The sequence below is a fragment of the Homo sapiens genome, chromosome 4 (assembly GCF_000001405.40).
Source record: "Homo sapiens chromosome 4, GRCh38.p14 Primary Assembly".
In the NCBI taxonomy this organism is placed as follows: domain Eukaryota; kingdom Metazoa; phylum Chordata; class Mammalia; order Primates; family Hominidae; genus Homo; species Homo sapiens.
In genome coordinates this window covers 89,758,021-89,775,735 of record NC_000004.12, presented here as the reverse complement: position 1 = coordinate 89,775,735, position 17,715 = coordinate 89,758,021, and the positions used below count along the sequence as shown (strand labels likewise).

At 36.6% G+C, this 17,715-nt stretch overlaps 1 protein-coding gene across 12 annotated transcripts in view; it reads left to right on the top strand.

Annotated features, from left to right (window-relative positions):
- The window catches only part of SNCA (synuclein alpha), a 114,206-nt gene that overhangs the window by 62,569 nt on the left and 33,922 nt on the right, over nt 1–17,715 (top strand). The window contains exon 1 of one of the 12 annotated variants that reach the window (NM_001375290.1): nt 4,002–4,339. The exons of the other annotated variants lie outside the window; for them this stretch is intronic. Within the exon in view, the coding sequence (NP_001362219.1) occupies nt 4,178–4,339 (162 nt within the window). The 5' untranslated portion in view covers nt 4,002–4,177. Of the gene's footprint in view, nt 1–4,001; nt 4,340–17,715 lie in introns of those variants that run through there. 12 annotated transcript variants of the gene reach the window in all.

Below are 17,715 nucleotides of genomic sequence, written 5' to 3'. Positions count from 1 at the left end.
AATCCAGTAAAAACCAAACATACACACACACACACGGACATCCGTGAGGCAGGAAGGGATGTCCACTATAGTACAGACAAGCATCCTGGAAGGCCATCAAGGAGTAGGTGGGTTTCAGTTGCCTCAGGAATGTGGCATGGACCCAAACTAAGTGAGTACAGATACTTGTCATTGAGGAGAAGATTCAAAATAGCATCCTAGGTGTAAAAACTGAGGCACCTGGGGCAGGGGAACTAGGTCTCTGGAATGTTGGCTTAAAAGCACCCCTCTCAGGAAAGGCCTCATATGCCATGCAGGGGGTTATATATGTGTTGTGGGACACAGATGGCAAGGAGATAATTCTATGCACCAGGCTCCACTACTAACAGGTAAACAGACCAACATTAACAGAGACTTAGGTAAAAAGGTAGGTGCCCAGTGGTCAGTTCTCAGGCACTTCCAAGATGCACCTAACAGAAATGTAACTTGGTGTCTATTGTGTCCTAGGTCTAACAACTGAAGAGAAGTGAATTAGTACCTCTTGTGGACAGAGAAACAGGGGCAGAGACCCATTACAAAGCTGTCTCAGATAGGCATTTGAAGCTGTTTAAGTATGTAGAGGCTTAAGTCAGGCTGGTTCTGAAATGTGAGAGAGGGTTAAGCTTCATGGGAAATCAGCAGGGTAGTTTGCTATTTTTTATTATAACCAATCTCACAATAGTTTGGGACATCAAATATCAAATTGTTGGGAATATTTATCCATATTAGTCTTTTTGCCACTAATATTTAAAAATAGTTTACAATATACAACAAAAAGTTGTAAAATTTCCATCTCCACTTAATCGATCTTATGTAACCCATACAATACATCAAATGTCCTTTCCCCACTTTATGTTTTTATTTGCTTTGTCAAAGATCACTTGGCTGTTAGCATTTGGGTTTATTTCTAGGTTCTCTATTCTGTTTTATTGGTCTGTGTGCCTATTTTTATACCAGTGCCATGCTGTTTTGGTGACTATGGCCTTATAGTATAGTTTGAAAGCAGGTAATGTGATGCCTCCAGATTTTTCTTTTTGCTTAATCTTGCTTTGGCTATGTGGGCTCTTTTTTGGTTCCATATGAATTTTAGGATTGTTTTTTCTAGTTCTGTGAAGAATGATGGTGGTATTTTGATGGGAATTGCATTTAATTGTAGATTTCTCTTGGCAGTATTACCCAGGCTTTTCTTATTTTGGCACCCTGTGCTGCTGTCTCCTTTTCCTTCTTTCTGCTTCTCTTAACCAACTGTTACCTACACTTCAATACTTTCTGAGGGCAATTCATCCTCCAGTAAGTCTCCCTGAATCTTCTCTTCCTTCCCTGGCTTATTATATATCCTTCCTCTTGGTTCCCATAGCACCTATGCACACTTCTGTCATTGCACTTGCCAATTTGTTTTATAATGATCTGCTCATCTGTCTCCTCACTTAGACTATGAGCTCACTGAGAGCAATGGCTGTTGCATTCACCTTATATCCTCAACACCATTCTGAAGGCAAGAGAAAGAATACCCAGAGGTGGAGCTGGGAAGCTGGTTGTCCAAGTAGTGAATGACTCTAGTTTGAATTGAACTCTATAGCCAGTGGGCAATGTGGATGTGTTGACAGTTTTTTAACAGGGGACTAGTGAAAACACATTTTGGGTTTAGAAAAAATTGCAAGTCTGATGACATACATAGGAGAAGAGATTAGAGATAGGAATTTCACTTCAGAAATTTAACCACAAGAGCAAGTGACAGATCACGGAAGTCTGAACCAGACTATAAATGTGAGAATAGAGAAAAAAGTTAACAATTTGGGTGTGAAAGGGCGAGGGAGAGAGGTGTGAAGAATGACTAAGTGTGGATCTGTTTTTAAGGATTGAATGGAAATTTGAGCATTTTAGCTAATCAGGCCTAATATTGAGCAAAGCAAAACTCTTGCAAATTGTTATTTCAAGTGTGGGCTGAGAAAATGAAAAAATATAAATTCTCACGTTATAACCTCTTCCGTGTGTCTGATTTGATAGAATCCAGCCCCATTGCCTCCAAATTCCATTGCATCTTAGACCAGCAAACACAAGTGAATTCTACTTAACCCCAGAATTCTGTATGAAAATCTTACTGCCTTTTTTTTTCTAATCATGTGTCAAAGTGTGGGAAGAACTTTTATTTATGTTTTAATAAATTGTCAGTATAACCATTTTTACTTGAAAATATTATAATTTTTCAAGTAAACAAATTGTTTCTCTAAGTTGAAAATTTTATGATGGAATAAAAGTATTTTTCCTCAAAACACATAGAAATTTTACAACAATATTTTAGAGTTAACTAAATGTTTCTTTAGTAGTTTAGTCACTTAAAAAGTGATATGATTATGAAAATACTTAAACTTTGTCTTTTAACTATTTCTAATAATGCTATTGGTATAATTTCATATTTTTATACTGATCTTTTCTCCAAACTTTAGTAAAACATACTTCTGTAAACCCCTGCCCACAAAACTGAAGTCCACATTTACTTCTGAATGACTGATAAGTTTGTAAAAGTATGCATGAATTTCGTTATTAAATTAAAGTTTTTATTATATTTTATGCACAATGGTATAAATTATTAAATTAATTTTCAAGCTTATAGAACATTGATAAAGATTGTCATTAGAAAACCCTGAGTTGATTGTTATACATTACATAACCTTTCATTGGTGGATTAGTGAATATGTTATAGGGTGACCATGAATCCAAAGAATCAAAGCTGGCTACAGCAAACAGAGGGTCAAAAGGATATGGAACTATGCATGATCCAGCAAAACACTCAATATCTGTTTTCCTGGAATGTTAAAAGACAAAGAAGAAAACTTGGGGAACACTAGATGCATATAGTTCTGGTTCTTTAAGAATAAAAATATGGGCCGGGCCCGGTGGCTCATGCCTGTAATCCCAGCACTTTGTGGGAGGCCAAGGCGGGTGGATCACAAGGTTAGGAGTTCAAGACCAGCCAGGCCAACATAGTGAAACCCTGTCTCTACTAAAAATACAAAAAAAAATTACAAAAAAAATACAAAAAAAAAAATAGCCAGGTGTGGTGACAGGCACCTGTATTCCCAGCTACTTGGGAGGCTGAGGCAGGAGAATCACTTGAACCCGGGAGGCAGAGGTTGCAGTGAGCCAAGATAGTGCCACTGTGCTCCAGCCTGGGTGACATAGTGAGACTCTGTCTCAAAAAAAAAAAAAAGAATAAAAACAAGAATGGTCAGAGTCCTAGTACCTTGTCCAGTGTAGTGCTGCCTTGAGATTGCATTGCAATCTGTCTGAGAGATAGTAAAAGAAAGTGATACCTTCCTTAGCCCTGTTTCTCTTTAGACTATGCTTTCCCCTCTCCAAGTTAATATCTCTCAGTCTAAAGCCTGGGAAAAGGTGCCAATTTTGTTTTTCTTTCTTCCTCACACCTCCTAGAAGTTACACTGGGACACTATTACTTTTTTCCAGGCTTTGGCCATGTGTATTGTTTTGGAGAGTCAACTTCCTTTTTTCTTTCATTCTGCAAATAGTTTTGAGCTGTCACTCTGTACTAGGTGCTATAAAACTTACAGGTGCATTTTACATGCCTATTTCCTATAGGCCACGATTTAACAAAATGTTCATAAATGAGAATTAGGAGTGCATGTATTGAATCACCACACATTAACTGAACAGCTTTCATTGGCCAGAGACTATATTGACAGTGGAGATTCAAAGATAAACTAGAGAAATCTCATGCTTAAATAACTTTCTATAATAAATTATATAAGAGAAGTAGGTTCAGGGATCTTGGGAGCTCAGAAGCAGGATGAGTTAAACAAAAGTTGGATTTTGCCTTTAGCTTGGTTTCATTATCCTGAAGGAAGAGCCTGAAATATAGTGTAGGGTGCAAGTAGTATATGTGGGTGGCAATCTCGGGAAACAGGAGCATGTGATGAATAAGGAGAAAAAGCCAATATAAAGGTACTGCATTGAGGGCAATGAGGGCTCTAATTCTCTGCACCTTCTCAAGCATTGTGCAGATTGGTTTTCTGGATTATCAGCCTGAAGGACAAAACGAAGAAACAGCCATTAGCTCCTGTCTCCCATTGTCTGAGAGCTGCCACTAGGATATTAACTTCCTGAAATTCTGCAGAAATCTCCTCTTACTTTGGCACTGGAGATGCCCATACGCAGAAAGCAAAAAGGCACAGCATATTTAAGGAAGCTCATAAGAAACAGTGCATCCAGAAGTGGCGAGAATTGGAGGAATGGACATGAGACTCTAAGAACCAGCGCCTTTGATGTTCCTTTTGATCTGTTATGTAGCTCTTCTTGTACACAGGTGAGCAAAGGCATGCTGGACAAATGGATTCACATGTGCTAAAGCATGGGGCAAAAACCACATATTAATTCAGGAAAAGACAAGATGCGTGGCCCTCTCTGTCTCTGTCTAAGGGTGAATTAAAGAGGGGATATATGTACAGAGTGGCAGGGCAGGACTTGAGATAAGAAGGCTAGGTGGGTGCTCTCATGCTAGTAGCATTATAGTACAGGTGATGAGAAGCTCCTGAAGAATCATCTTAACATTTGTATTTTAGAGCAACAGTATTGAGTTCTGACTTAGAGACAGCAAAACTAAAGACAGAAAGACTATTTTGATTATTAATGATGTAGATATAAGAATATCGTCAATGTGAACTAAAGCATGAAGCTACTTATGATATATCATTAAAAGGATTTAACTGATTGGAGACAAACGAGAGGGATGGGGAAAAGAATTCATTTGTTTTTAGTTGCTCTTTTTTTCCTACTTATTCCTTTGTTCCGAGTGTGAATAAACTTTGTAAACTTTTATACTAAAACATTCTGCTCATTCATACTTATTTCTTTGATGAAACAAGGAAACCCTTGTATAGTTATAAACGTGTGAATCAATTTAAATATTAGGAAATTTTTTTAAATAAAGCTAGTTTTCTGAAGGGGAAAAACTTGGTTCAATTTTTTGCTGGCAATCTGCTTTGTGATTTTTGAACATGATATCTACATCTAGACTCATGTTTTGCTAGCTGGAATTTTTTTTCAAATTAACGCTACCATTATTATATGCTTTACTATTTAGCTTTTGCAGCCTTGGAAATCTATGATTAATACAAATAATTCTCTATGGCAATTTTAAAAATACATGTAAAAGCCTTCAATCTACATTGCTACTGTGTCGTAGCACAAAAAAAGAAAATGTGATCAAATTTTAATAAAATCTACAATTTATTCCCTTCTAAATACAGTCCTAGCTCAGGAGAAAGGAAGCTATTTGTATTTTTCAGAATCAAATTTCCCTAAATGAATATAGAGAAAGAATTATAACTGAAATATTGTTGAAACAGTGGTCATCTCAAATCTGAAGGTCATTCCAAAAAAGTTTCTGAGTTTTCATTGCCTCAATCTAAAAGTTGGCCTTTTTGGTAATAGATGAAAGTAAAATAATTGAAAGGGTCTGTTGCAGTTTTGGAATATCTTGAAAATATAGTAGAGTGAAGCCTTCTTCCCTTAAATAAAAGACAAGTTGCTGATTGTTTTCTTTCTAGCCAGATAAGAATAATGCCTTCTTTCTCTTGTTAGTCTTAACACCTCACTTGTTACTATGTGTCAGAAAGGCGAGACACCATAAATGGAGATACTACTGATGGAGGTCATCTGACATGGGGCTGGTAGGCAGTGGGAAGACTGGTATGGACACAGGTGGCTTAGGGGTTGGGGAATGATATGGAACTAAGGAAATGATAATTAGCAGAACCCAGTGTGCATGTGTGTGCATTCGTGTGTCCGTGTATGTGTGTACTGTAGCACAATGCAAGAAAGAAAAAACAAGGCAGACTTTTCATAATTTCAGGGATAAATAAATCCTTTATCACTTCATGTAGAATATTGGCTACTTGGAGGTATATCTAAACGTAAATATATAACTATATAACTACATGCTAATTAAAAACATACAAAGAAGAAGTGCCTAAAGAATTACAACAGAAAGTGGCATAGTGATTATTAGAGTTAATATAATATAAATAAGGCCAGGCATGGTGGCTCATGCCTATAATCCCAGCACTTTTGGAGGTCAAGTTGCAGGGATCACTTGAGGACAGGGGATAGAGACAAGCCTAGCCAACATGGTGAAACCCATCTCTACTAAAAATACAGAAATTAGCTGGGTGTGGTGATGGGCGCTGGTAATCCCAGCTACTCAAGAAACTGAAGCAGGAGAATTGCTTGAACCCGGAAGCTGGGGCTGCAGTGAGCCAAGATCGCGCACTGCACTCCAGACTGGGTGACAGAGAAAGACCCGGTCTCAAAAAATTAAAAAATAGTATAAATAATATTTCAAAACACAAGTCTGTTAAGATAAAAGGTACAGAGGAATGGTGAGATGACTTTTTTATTTGTGTGATAAGGGACTGTTTTCTGTGATTGTGAGAAAGACCAGGAGTTAAGAAAAAGTGGCCATCAATAAATCAGCCACTTATGGGGAAGAACCATAAACCACTCTCAGATGAAATACAAATGCAGTCATTATTTAATATTATTGGAATATTTGTATTAGTTTTTGGTATGTGCTGCTAGTGCTGGTACATTTTAGTAGTCAATTAATATTTTGTTAATCTTAATTTCTAACTAAATTCCAGAGTGAAATGGAAATAATAATGAAAAAATTTTATTTACAAAACAGATTTTGTTTTTTTCTGTTAAGAATGATACACAGTTGTCCTTCAGTAGCCATAGGGGATTGGTTTCAGGACCTCCCTTGGGTACTAAAATCTGCAGATGCCTAAGCCCCTGTTATAAAATGGCTTAGTATTTGTATATAACCTATGCACATCCTCTCATATACTTTCAATCAGGGGTCCCCAACCCCAGGGCCATGACCAGTACTGGTCCATAGCCTGTTAGGCTGTTCGATACCAGGCTGCACAGCAAGAGCTGAGCTCCTCCTCCTGTCAGCTCAGTGGTGGCATTAGATTGCCATAGGAGCACGAACCCTATTGTGAACTGCACATGTGAGGGATCTAGGTTGTGCGCTCCTTATGAGAATCTAATGATAAATGTAATGTGCTTGAATCATCCCAAAACCATTCCCCTTCCCCTCACCATCCCTGTCCGTGGAAACATTTCTTCCAGAAAACCAGTCCCTGGTGCCAGAAAGGTTGGGGACTGCTGCTTTAAATAATCTCTAGATTACTGATAATGCCCAATACAATGTAAATTCTATGTAAATAGTTTTTATACTATATTGTTTAGAGAATAATGAAAAGAAAAAGTCTACATGTTCAGTTTAAGTGTTGATAAGTGTGTAGAGAAAAGGGAACCCTTGTACATTGTTGGTGGAAATATAGATTGGTGCAGTCATTATGGACAATAGTACGGAGGTTCCTAAAGAAATTAAAATTAGAATTACCTAAGACCCAGCAATCCCTCCTCTGGATGTACCCAAAGGAAATAAAATCATCACCTCATAAAGATATCTGCACTGCTATATTCATTGCAGCATTATTTACAGTAGCCAAGATATGGAAACCACCTAGGTATGTGTTGGTGCATGAATGGATAAAAGAAACTGTGGTATATGTATATACAATGGAATATTATTCAGCCTTAAAAAAGGAGAAGACCCTGTCATTTGCCACAACATGCATGGACCTGGAGGATATTAAGCTGTGGGAAATAAGTCCAACACACATCCACACACAAAATTGCATAATCTCACTTATATGTGGAATCTAAAAAGAAAAAGTTCAAATATAAAGTTAGAATAAAACAGTGGTTACCGGCCGGATGTGGTAGCTCACGCCTGTAATCCTAGCCCTTTGGGAAGCCGAGGTGGGTGAATCACCTGAGGTCAGGAGTTCAAGACCAGCCTGACCAACATGGTGAAATCCTGTTTCTACTAAAAGTACAAAAATTAGCCGGGCATAGTGGCAGGTGCCTGTAATCCCAGCTACTCAGGCAGTTGAGAAAGGAGAATCACTTGAACTCAGGAGGCATAGGTTGCAGTGAGCCGAGATGGCGCCACTTCACTCCAGCCTGGGCAAAAGAGCAAAACTCTGTCTCAAAATAAAAAAACAAAAAACACAGTCCACACACTGGTTACCATGAGTGAGGTGGCAGGGAGGAGATTGGGAGATGTAGATCTAAGGATACAAAGTAGCAGATATGTAGGAGGAACTAAAAAGCTGACATGCAGGATGACAACTATAGTTAGTAATAGTGTATTGTATTCAGGATTTTTGCTAATTGAGTAGATTATAGCTGCTCTTGCCACAGGGGAAAAAGTGGGTAACTACGTGAGATAGACAATGGATGTGTTAATTTTTGTCACTATAATAACCTTTTCACCATATACATTCATCTTATAACAGCATGTTGTTTACTGTAAATATATACAATAAAATTTATTTTTAAATATCTGAGTATGATTTGATGATTTGTGAAAATAGAGTGAATTATAATAATTTTAAATGTAAGTTAATGTTATTAGAAAAGAAACAGAAAGAACATACCACACAGAAAGTCTGTCTGAAGGATCTTTGTTTTCTCCACCAATACAAGTGTTCATTGATTCAGAGGTGGATTATGAGATATGACCATAAAACAAAAATTTCAAGGGAAATATATTTTATTCAATGAAAAATTCTCAACACAACTGTTATATGCCAGTAAACACTATATCTTTTAAATAACAGGTCATATCTATTATATTTAAAATTCAAGGAGAGACTACATTAGAGATGCTATTAGATCAACTTCTAATTTCAAAGATTTCTAAGATATGGAACAGTTACTCCTTATACAAATTAAAAAAGCAAATGCTGAAGAAATTCAGCTACATGGATACACCATGAGGTGGAAAGATGCTCCATAACTCTTAGTTAAACTGCACTAATTACACATAAAAGGAAAATGTTTCATTTCACTGTAATTTGGAAACCAAAGAAAGAAAAGACTGAATTTTTACATACTGTTAAAGAGATTGCGTATCTGTTCTAAGTTTAAGACAGAGGCAAAATGTATTTTATTCATTTGTCCTGCACCGTTTAGAAATAAAATTCAACTTCCTTTTAATTTTTTTTAAGAATAAAAAACTCAGTCTAAGGAAAGTCTTAAAGTTTTCATTTTAAGTGATCCACTGTTCTAGAAGTTTAATATTTTGTTTAAAATGTTTATGTTCTGTATTCCACCAAGTCTAGTTTTAAAACAAAACAAACAACAACAAAATACTTCTCTAACTTGGAGTTTAAGGTGAAAGAAACCAATTACGTGGTTTGGAAATGTCACACTTTTCATCTCTTTTTTAAAAAAATTTTTAATTCAGGACAGAAATTGTATGGATTTAGTGTAAGTCTTGGGATCTCACAAGTGTCAGTATTTCACTCTCCTCCATATCTTGATAGCAATAACTTGAAATAGGATCTCAGTAGCTCAAGCAATACTGGGCTCTGAGAGTTGGTTAAAAATTATTTGGCTGAGCGCCTGTTGCTGAGGGAAGAACTAATCTCGAGCATATTTTTGGAGCCAAATACCAAATTGTTTGTGCTTAGCAACACAGCACCAGGCTTGCCCTTCAGAATGATTCTAGACCAAATGCCAGAAATGCTCTGGTTCTGACTACAGAGTTCTATTCACAAATGACAGGAGGCAAGAGGTCCTCCTCACTTTCAGAAGAAAGGTCCTTTGCTTTCTTAGTCAATGGTAGGAAAACCATTGTGGTTTTCATTGCATTACATAATTTTTAAGGTGATTACTTCAATAAGAAGTGCTCTGTGTATATGTGTGTTTATAGACGCATTTTTTAAACACTGGAGAATTTCTGAAAGTAGTACAAACCTTGTAATGTCAAGTAGATGTGGGAAAAAGGGAGTTTACAACATTCTCTCCTGACATTGCTCTCCTTTGGCATCTGCATTTTTAAAATGTTAAAAATGTTTAAAAACGTGTGCTTAACACTTAATTTGGTGATAGTTGCTGTTACCAAGGCAACTCTGTAACTCCACCCAGATAAAAATAAATCTTGAAGATGAGTTTCTGTGTCTCTGAGCAAATATTTTTGTGAATAGTAGAAGCAGAGAAAGTTAAAGATACCTGAGCTTTTGATCTTTACTAGTTTTATAGATATGTTTATAGTTATACATTTTTATTCATACATTTTAGATAAATAACTTTGTAAAGCAATTGATTCTTCTTGTAAAAATCAAGTATATTCTTAATAGACTGATAAACTTTCTTTTTTTGAGACAGAGTCTTGCTCTATTGCCCAGGCTGGAATACAGTGCCATGATCTTGGCTCACTGCAACCTACCTCTGCCTCCTGGGTTCAAGCAATTCTCCTGCCTCAGCCTCTTGAGTAGCTGAGATTACAGGTGCATGGTACCACACCCCACTAATTTTTGTATTCTTAGTAGAGATGGGGTTTTGCCATTTTGGCCAGGCTCTGAGAAACTTTTTAAGGTCTCTTTTGCAGCCAGCTATTTGTCTACCTTATTTCATTCTTAATCTCACTAGCCAATATTTTTTCTGTTTAAGTGCTTTCAGCAAATATTAAATGCTTGTGCCTTCAGTCTTATCCTGTGGAAACACTGGTAATGACAAAAACACATATTTCAACCTAATATACAATAGAAACAGAATGCCAGTTATTCATGGAGGAGAAGAATAGACTTCTGTATTTAAAATAACATTTTGCTCTGTGTTTTAAAATCATTCTTCCTTCATCAATTGTAAGCATCTTGACTATAATTTATACACCTAAAGATAAATAATTCAGTAGCAATGATAACTGAAAACAGGACACATACAATGAACTAGCTAAATTACCATACATTCTCATCCATTTCAAAAATAGCTCTGTACTTTTTTCAGATTTTGTTAGAAGAATATTCAATACAAATTTTTATTCAATGAACACTTCAGATGTCAAGATTGTTACCCACATGGACAACAGTAACCTAGGTAAAGATTCTGCAGCCAGGCGTGGTGGCTCACACCTGTAATCCCAGCACTTTGGGAGGCTGAGGCGGGCAGATCATGAGGTCAGGAGATCGAGACTATCCTGGCTAACATGGTGAAACCCCATCTCTACTAAAAATACAAAAAATTAGCCAGGTGTGGTGTCATGTGCTTGTAGTCCCAGCTGCTCGGGAGGCTAAGGCAGGAGAATCGCTTGAACCCGGGAGGTGGAGGTTGCGGTGAGCCGAGATTGCACCACTGCACTCCAGCCTGGGTGACAGAGCGAGACTCTGTCTCAAAAAAAAAAAAAAAAAATTTTATACCTGGGCTCTGTGCTCACCAGCAGAAGGGGTAACATGGCTTCTTAGGACAACCTTACTTGACCATTTACTTCTTTGACACTAGGGGTATTCTTAGATCAGCAGGTCCTTCCCTCCACTTATGCACATGAGGCTCACAGAGAGTCTGGGAGGCAGGGAATTTATGATTGGAAACAGTATACTTTTTATCTAAGAAATTATTAATGTCACTGCATTCAAGTGATTAACACCATCAATATCTTCAAGACTAAGGGGATTACATGATGTGTAAAATTAGAAAACTGTCATCTACTAGTGGCTAGGCACTTTAATTATATTAAGCATGCAACAAGAGAACTCTTCAAATGAATCCATCTCTCCTCTGTATTATTTCCAACCCTTGGATCCCCATCTGTTTCTGCAGACAACAGCTATGCTGCTGAATGTCTTAATGGTTTGCTGCCCCAACTAGCTTCAAGATACTGCAGGTCAAGCATAGCATCTTACTCTTCCCTGCATCTCCAGCACCTCTCAGAATGTTGGTCACATAGAAGATGTTTGCTGAGGAGTTGAATAAGAATATGTACAAGGGACACAATTAGCATTGTTTAAAAAAGATGTAACAAGATAGGGTAAAGGAAAGCTTTGGAGGATAAATCTTTAGAACAATCAATAATATCTTCTCCTCTGTTGGTTAGTTGCCCTTCAATCTCAGCCACTGAATCAAATACAACATAATTACTATTCTGATATGTTCTTGAATCGAATATCCAATAATAAGATATTCGGATGCATAGCCATGTCTAATATCAAAGCCCATGCTTTTCGCTATTATTGTACTCCATACATTAGCTTCCAAATTTATTTGCAATCCAAATATTAAAAGCAAGTCATAAGCTTAGTATCGCCAATGTGATACTAAGTATCCACTTACTAAACTTTATTTTCAAAATGTGGTTTTATCTCAGTTTAATGAACACGGCATGTTTTAATTTACACTTTCATATTATATAGTAAGGGCGTGGTTACAGATATGTTAATTTCCTGTGCTGCTTCACAATGATGGAACATAATAGCAAATGAAACTGTTAATTTGCAGATACCCATAGGCCTTTGGTGTCTGAATAGAAATAAACACACCTACAACTGAGAGAGGAAGCATGTGAAGCATTCCAGTGAACAGAGGCCATTTATTCAGTCACAGACACAGGAGAAAAACAACAATTAAAAAAAAATCTCTGATGAAAAGTTCATAAAAAGTTCACTCAGTTTAAGCATATGTCCTATAACTACTTAAAATAGAGTTCTTCTTAAATATCATTCTTTGCTGTTTTTAGATTTCTTCTGCCTGTATCAAATTAATAGAACACAGCATACTTTTAATTTGCTCTGGTTTCTTAGTGGGGCATTTATTAAACACATTAAAACAATAGTCTCAGGGTTTTACTGCTGATGTTAAAGTTCTGCTTTCCTACTTACCAACTGTGTCATCTTAAGGCACATACTTTGCCTCTCTCTCAAATCTCCCAAATGGAGAATGATAAGAATACGTACCTCAATTAAAGAAGCTATAACAAGTAGAATGTTTGGAAAAGTGCCGGGTACACCATAAGCCCACTATGAGTATTGGATTGTATTACCTCTGAAAGCTGCAGAATGGAATTCTCAAAGTTATATGTCCCTAAAATCCTCTTAAGTGACAGAAATGGAGAAATTAGCAGTCTGTCTAAGAGAGCTTTTCTAGAGTCTGGGCATATGTTTTTAGGACAAGACAGTTCAGCTTCAGCTTAAAATGAGAGAGCACGTCTGTGTCCTTACTCCTGGGTGCCAGGTTTCTTGTCCCCATCTTAAGACAAATAATTTTGGTGGAGAAGAGGCAGTCTCTTTGATTTCGCTCTAAAAACCTTTTCTGGAGGAGGTAGACACTCTCCACCCCCGTTTTGAGACTCATGCAGCTGAGGATGACTGGCTGAGTACAAGCAATTGTTCCTTCTAAGCAGTTTCAATTCTTATAACTTGTGGAGATATTCTTAAGTCCAGGGGATTTTGTGTATGGTGGATTTTTATTACAAAGTCCTGTACTTCATAGGAACAAAATAATTCAAAGTCAGGAACCAGATCAAAGCCACAACTCAGATATGGCACCTTGAGAAGTTCATTTGTATTTCACTTGCATAAAAACCCTCACCACTGCTATCTGATTTTCACAAATCATTCAACAGCTATCCATGAAGCACCCACTGTGTGTCTGGTCTCTGTGTCAGTCCCTGGCTTCATGTGTCTTTCCTTCTGTACCCTGACTCCCCAACTCATGAACACATGAAGTAAAAAAATGAAAATCTTTTTCTGACCTCTCTTCAAAATCACTTTTTTCAAAACAAACACCTCTCACCTGCTCATCCTCCAGCCAGTAAATCACAGGGGCCTAGAAATGTCACTTACAAATATTTTCTGATTCTGTCCCTCCCTTCAAGCTTGCCAACATTATCACAGTTTAGGGCCTGCTCATCTTTCCCCCAATCTCCAATTAGATCTCTCCACAATGCAATTCTGCACATTCCCTGTTACAACCCTTCAATTATTTCCCAGCCCATCCAAAATAAAATCTAAGCCTCTTACTAACACATTCAGGAACTCTGTGGCCTACGGTTTTCTACAGACTAATTTTCCAGCAGTTGACTTCCAGTGCAAGTGAAAACCTAGTGTCATGCCTGCATGATAGATAAATTTGAAGCTGAAGAGCCCAAATGTATAGACCATGCCATGAAAGGTTTATAGTCATGACACAGTGGCCCTATAGTACAGTGCTTGAAGCTGGCTCTCTACTGTCAGACAGACCACTTGCCAGCCATGAGACCTGGGGCAAAATGCCTTAATTTTTATGTGCCTCAAGTTCTCATGTGAGATGAGAATAAAAATTACCCCTATTTCATAAGATTTGATAAAGTGTTTAGCATAATACCTCATAACAATTGCAATTCAGTGGTGGTTATTATTATAAAGAAAAGATGATTAACTTTATCTTAATGTTTAACTTGTTCTGATAGTTATTGATCTATAGCTTTGATATGGAGGTTTGAGAATGACCTGGAAAGAATTGGCCACAATGATTGAAGATAGTGATACAAGAATAAAAGATGACTGCAAAATGTAAACCTGCAATAACAGAAAGAATGAAGTCACTGGTCTCATGGGAACTGATATGGGAGAAAAAAACAGATCAAAAGGCTATTCATGTTTTGGGCCTCTTTGTCAAAATGGAAATGAGAAACTGGGGAATAAAAATTAAAGCAATTCTAGCATCTGGTTTTAACATAATTCTTATCCCTAAAAAGAATCTATAAGAAACTCCCAAAATGACAGGCAGCCGTGGGTAGCATTGCATTTCAAGTAATCTTTTAATTGTTAAAATTTAAGTTTCCAACATGAACATAAAATTTTCAACCTAAAAGAAATGAGTTCCAAATCTGAGACAAGTGAAAAAGGATAAAGCCTACTAGGGGGTAAATTCCATCTCTTTAGAGATCTAGTACCCAATTTAGCAATGTCCAATCAAGCCTTTAACTACTACATTTGAACACCTCATCATTTCAAAATGTTACTTAATGATGCCAATTAACTGTACAATGTCTCTGCATAGCACATAGCCCTAAAATGATTTGTGCAATGTTACTGTCAGTAAAACTGAACTACAGGGAATGCTCATATTCTATGTCATTATATACAGAAATGCAATATCAATAAAGTGATATCTGTTGGTATTAGAAAAAAGTGAAAATTTTCATATCTTTCTATTTTCTTTTTTCCTCAATGGGATGCTCTTGTTAAAGATAGCTCTGCATAGTAAGGTTTGTATAAACATTATTTAGCTAAAGTTAAAAGGGGTAACATACTGGTTCTAGCACAGATATTAAAACAAATTAGTTTGTAGGTAGGGCAGCAATCAATTATATTACTAACCATAGCTTTGGTCCTTTTATCCTTTCCCATTTGATTTTACACAGTGGGATGTTAAAGGTTGAATGTCTTTGGTATCTATAAACTTAATTGAAAGCTGTTATTTGTTTGTTTAAGTCTGTTGATTTTTATAATCATAATTTTACTCCTATAGATTTCTTGTAGGAGTACTATATGAATTTATGTTGCACTGAATTTTGTTATGTTATACAAATTAATAGGCTTTTATTTATGGAAAGCTACTATTGATCTGTCATTTCTTAAAAAATTACTAAAAAGTGTTAAAACTTTAAATGTTGGAGAGTTTATATTTTAAAAGTTACATGCTAGAAAAACATGATGTCTGAGTATATTAGAAGTTATAGATAATTCATCTGTCAACTATAAAACTCTCCAACACTGCCTTTCTTTAATGAATAATATGAAATTTAGCAGTGAAAATGTGACAATGTACAATCCTAAATAAATCAACAAATTTAGAGATGTACCTCTAAAACCATTGTAAATTCAACAGTGTAATTTTCCATTGGACTTTCACTTATTCATTCATTAAACAAATGTTTGTGAGTGCCTGCAATGTATGAGACATTGTACTGAAGCTAGGCAGTGTGAGTTATCATATGGGATTATCCTTTAAATACTTCTGAGGGCAAAAAAAAAAAAAAAAAGAAGAGAAAAGGTGTGAGGAAAGATAAAGGGTTAATTCATTAAAAAATAACACTTGAGGACTGTTTTCTTTGCAAGGCATAAAGTTATCACCCTTTCAAACAGTAGATATTTCACATTTAGGATGCGAGACTCCAGTTCCAACAAAGCTCATTGCACAGCTGCTACCCTGATTAAACTGCTACATGAACTCTGAGCAATGTAGCATGGTAGCCGCATGCTTCTGCTTGCATGATGGTTAATTCCTTCCATTCTCATTAGTGATTTTCTGAGCTTTGAAATTCTGATGGTACCTAGGATATAAAGCATATTTATCTAACTGAAAAACAGATAATTAGATGTAACATAAAATATGAATGGCTTTGTCACTTTATTGTAGCAGAGAATGAATGTGGGATAAATTAAAGCTGATGCTAGAACATATGCCTATTTTTTAGCTGGAAAATTTCAAGATTTATGTACTTTGGGCTTGAGAAAGAAATGGAGTTTATTTTTTATGCACTGACATCTCTTTTTTTTTTTTTTTGGAAGAGCTCTCTTAGGAATGAATGGTATGTAAATACAGTAGGAATGTAATTATAGATTTTCCTGACCCAGTTCCTAAATAATAGATATCATTTCAGAAGTGCCCCAATACCTGACCTTTTGCTCCAAGCCATATCAAAGCACACATCTAGTCTACTTTTCACTCTCATTCCTAGCCACTATGACAATACTATTCAGATAAAACTTCTAGTCCTCTACTTATGTGACTCATACCAACTTGACCTTACGATAGTGACTGGGGGTGCATATCTAGGTTCATGCTGTTTGTCCATTATTATGGTTTTGTGAGAAAAGGCAAAATTTCTAGGTAAAGTGTTATGAGGACGAATAATCCACCAGGCAACCAACTGACCCTTTCATTTGCCATCTTGTCACTTCAAACAGCTCTCCAGAACCTGCAGCCAGCACAGACCAAAGTCAGGTTTGTCTCCTCTTCTGTTGATGAACAAAGGTTGATTCCATATCGTGGCTATTGTGAATAGTGGCAGTAAACATGGCAGTATTGTATGAAAATATCACAGATAGCCCTTAAATATGTGCAACTATGATGATCTATCAAAATTAAAAATTAAAATTTATTTTTAAAAGTTCAGTTAGAAAGCTTGTAGTTCCTGGCAAACTACTACCTTTCTCGGCAAAAGAATTTGATATCTCTTAAATATTTTCTGCCTAATGCTGATAGATTGTATTTACATATTCCATTAATGCAATAAATAAAATTACACCAAAACATCAGCATTATTTATTTCCAGGGGCATCTCTCAAAATAAATTCCTCCAAAATTCACAAAACCAAAACCAATGTGAAATTGTACTCAGGGATGCAAATGTAGCCCAGTGAAGCATTTGCCCACTTGTTTGGTATTATTGAAGCACAATTAGAAAAATGTGCAATGTATGCCCAAAAATTCTATAATAAGGGCCAGGCGCGGTGGCTCACACCTGTAATCTCAGCATTTTGGGAGGCCAAGGTGGGCAAATCATGAGGTCAGGAGATCGAGACCATCCTAGCTAACACCATGAAACCCAGTCTTTACTAAAAATACAAAAAATTGGCCCAGACGTGGTGGCGGGATCCTGTAGTCCCAGCTACTCGGGAGGCTGAGGCAGGAGAATGGCATGAACCCAGGAGGCAGAGTTTGCACTGAGCCTACTCTCCAGCCTGAACGACAGAGCGAGACCCCATCTCAAAAAAAAAAACCATAATAAGAACTTTTTAATATACTATATTATAATGTAAAAAGACTAGATGTCAAACA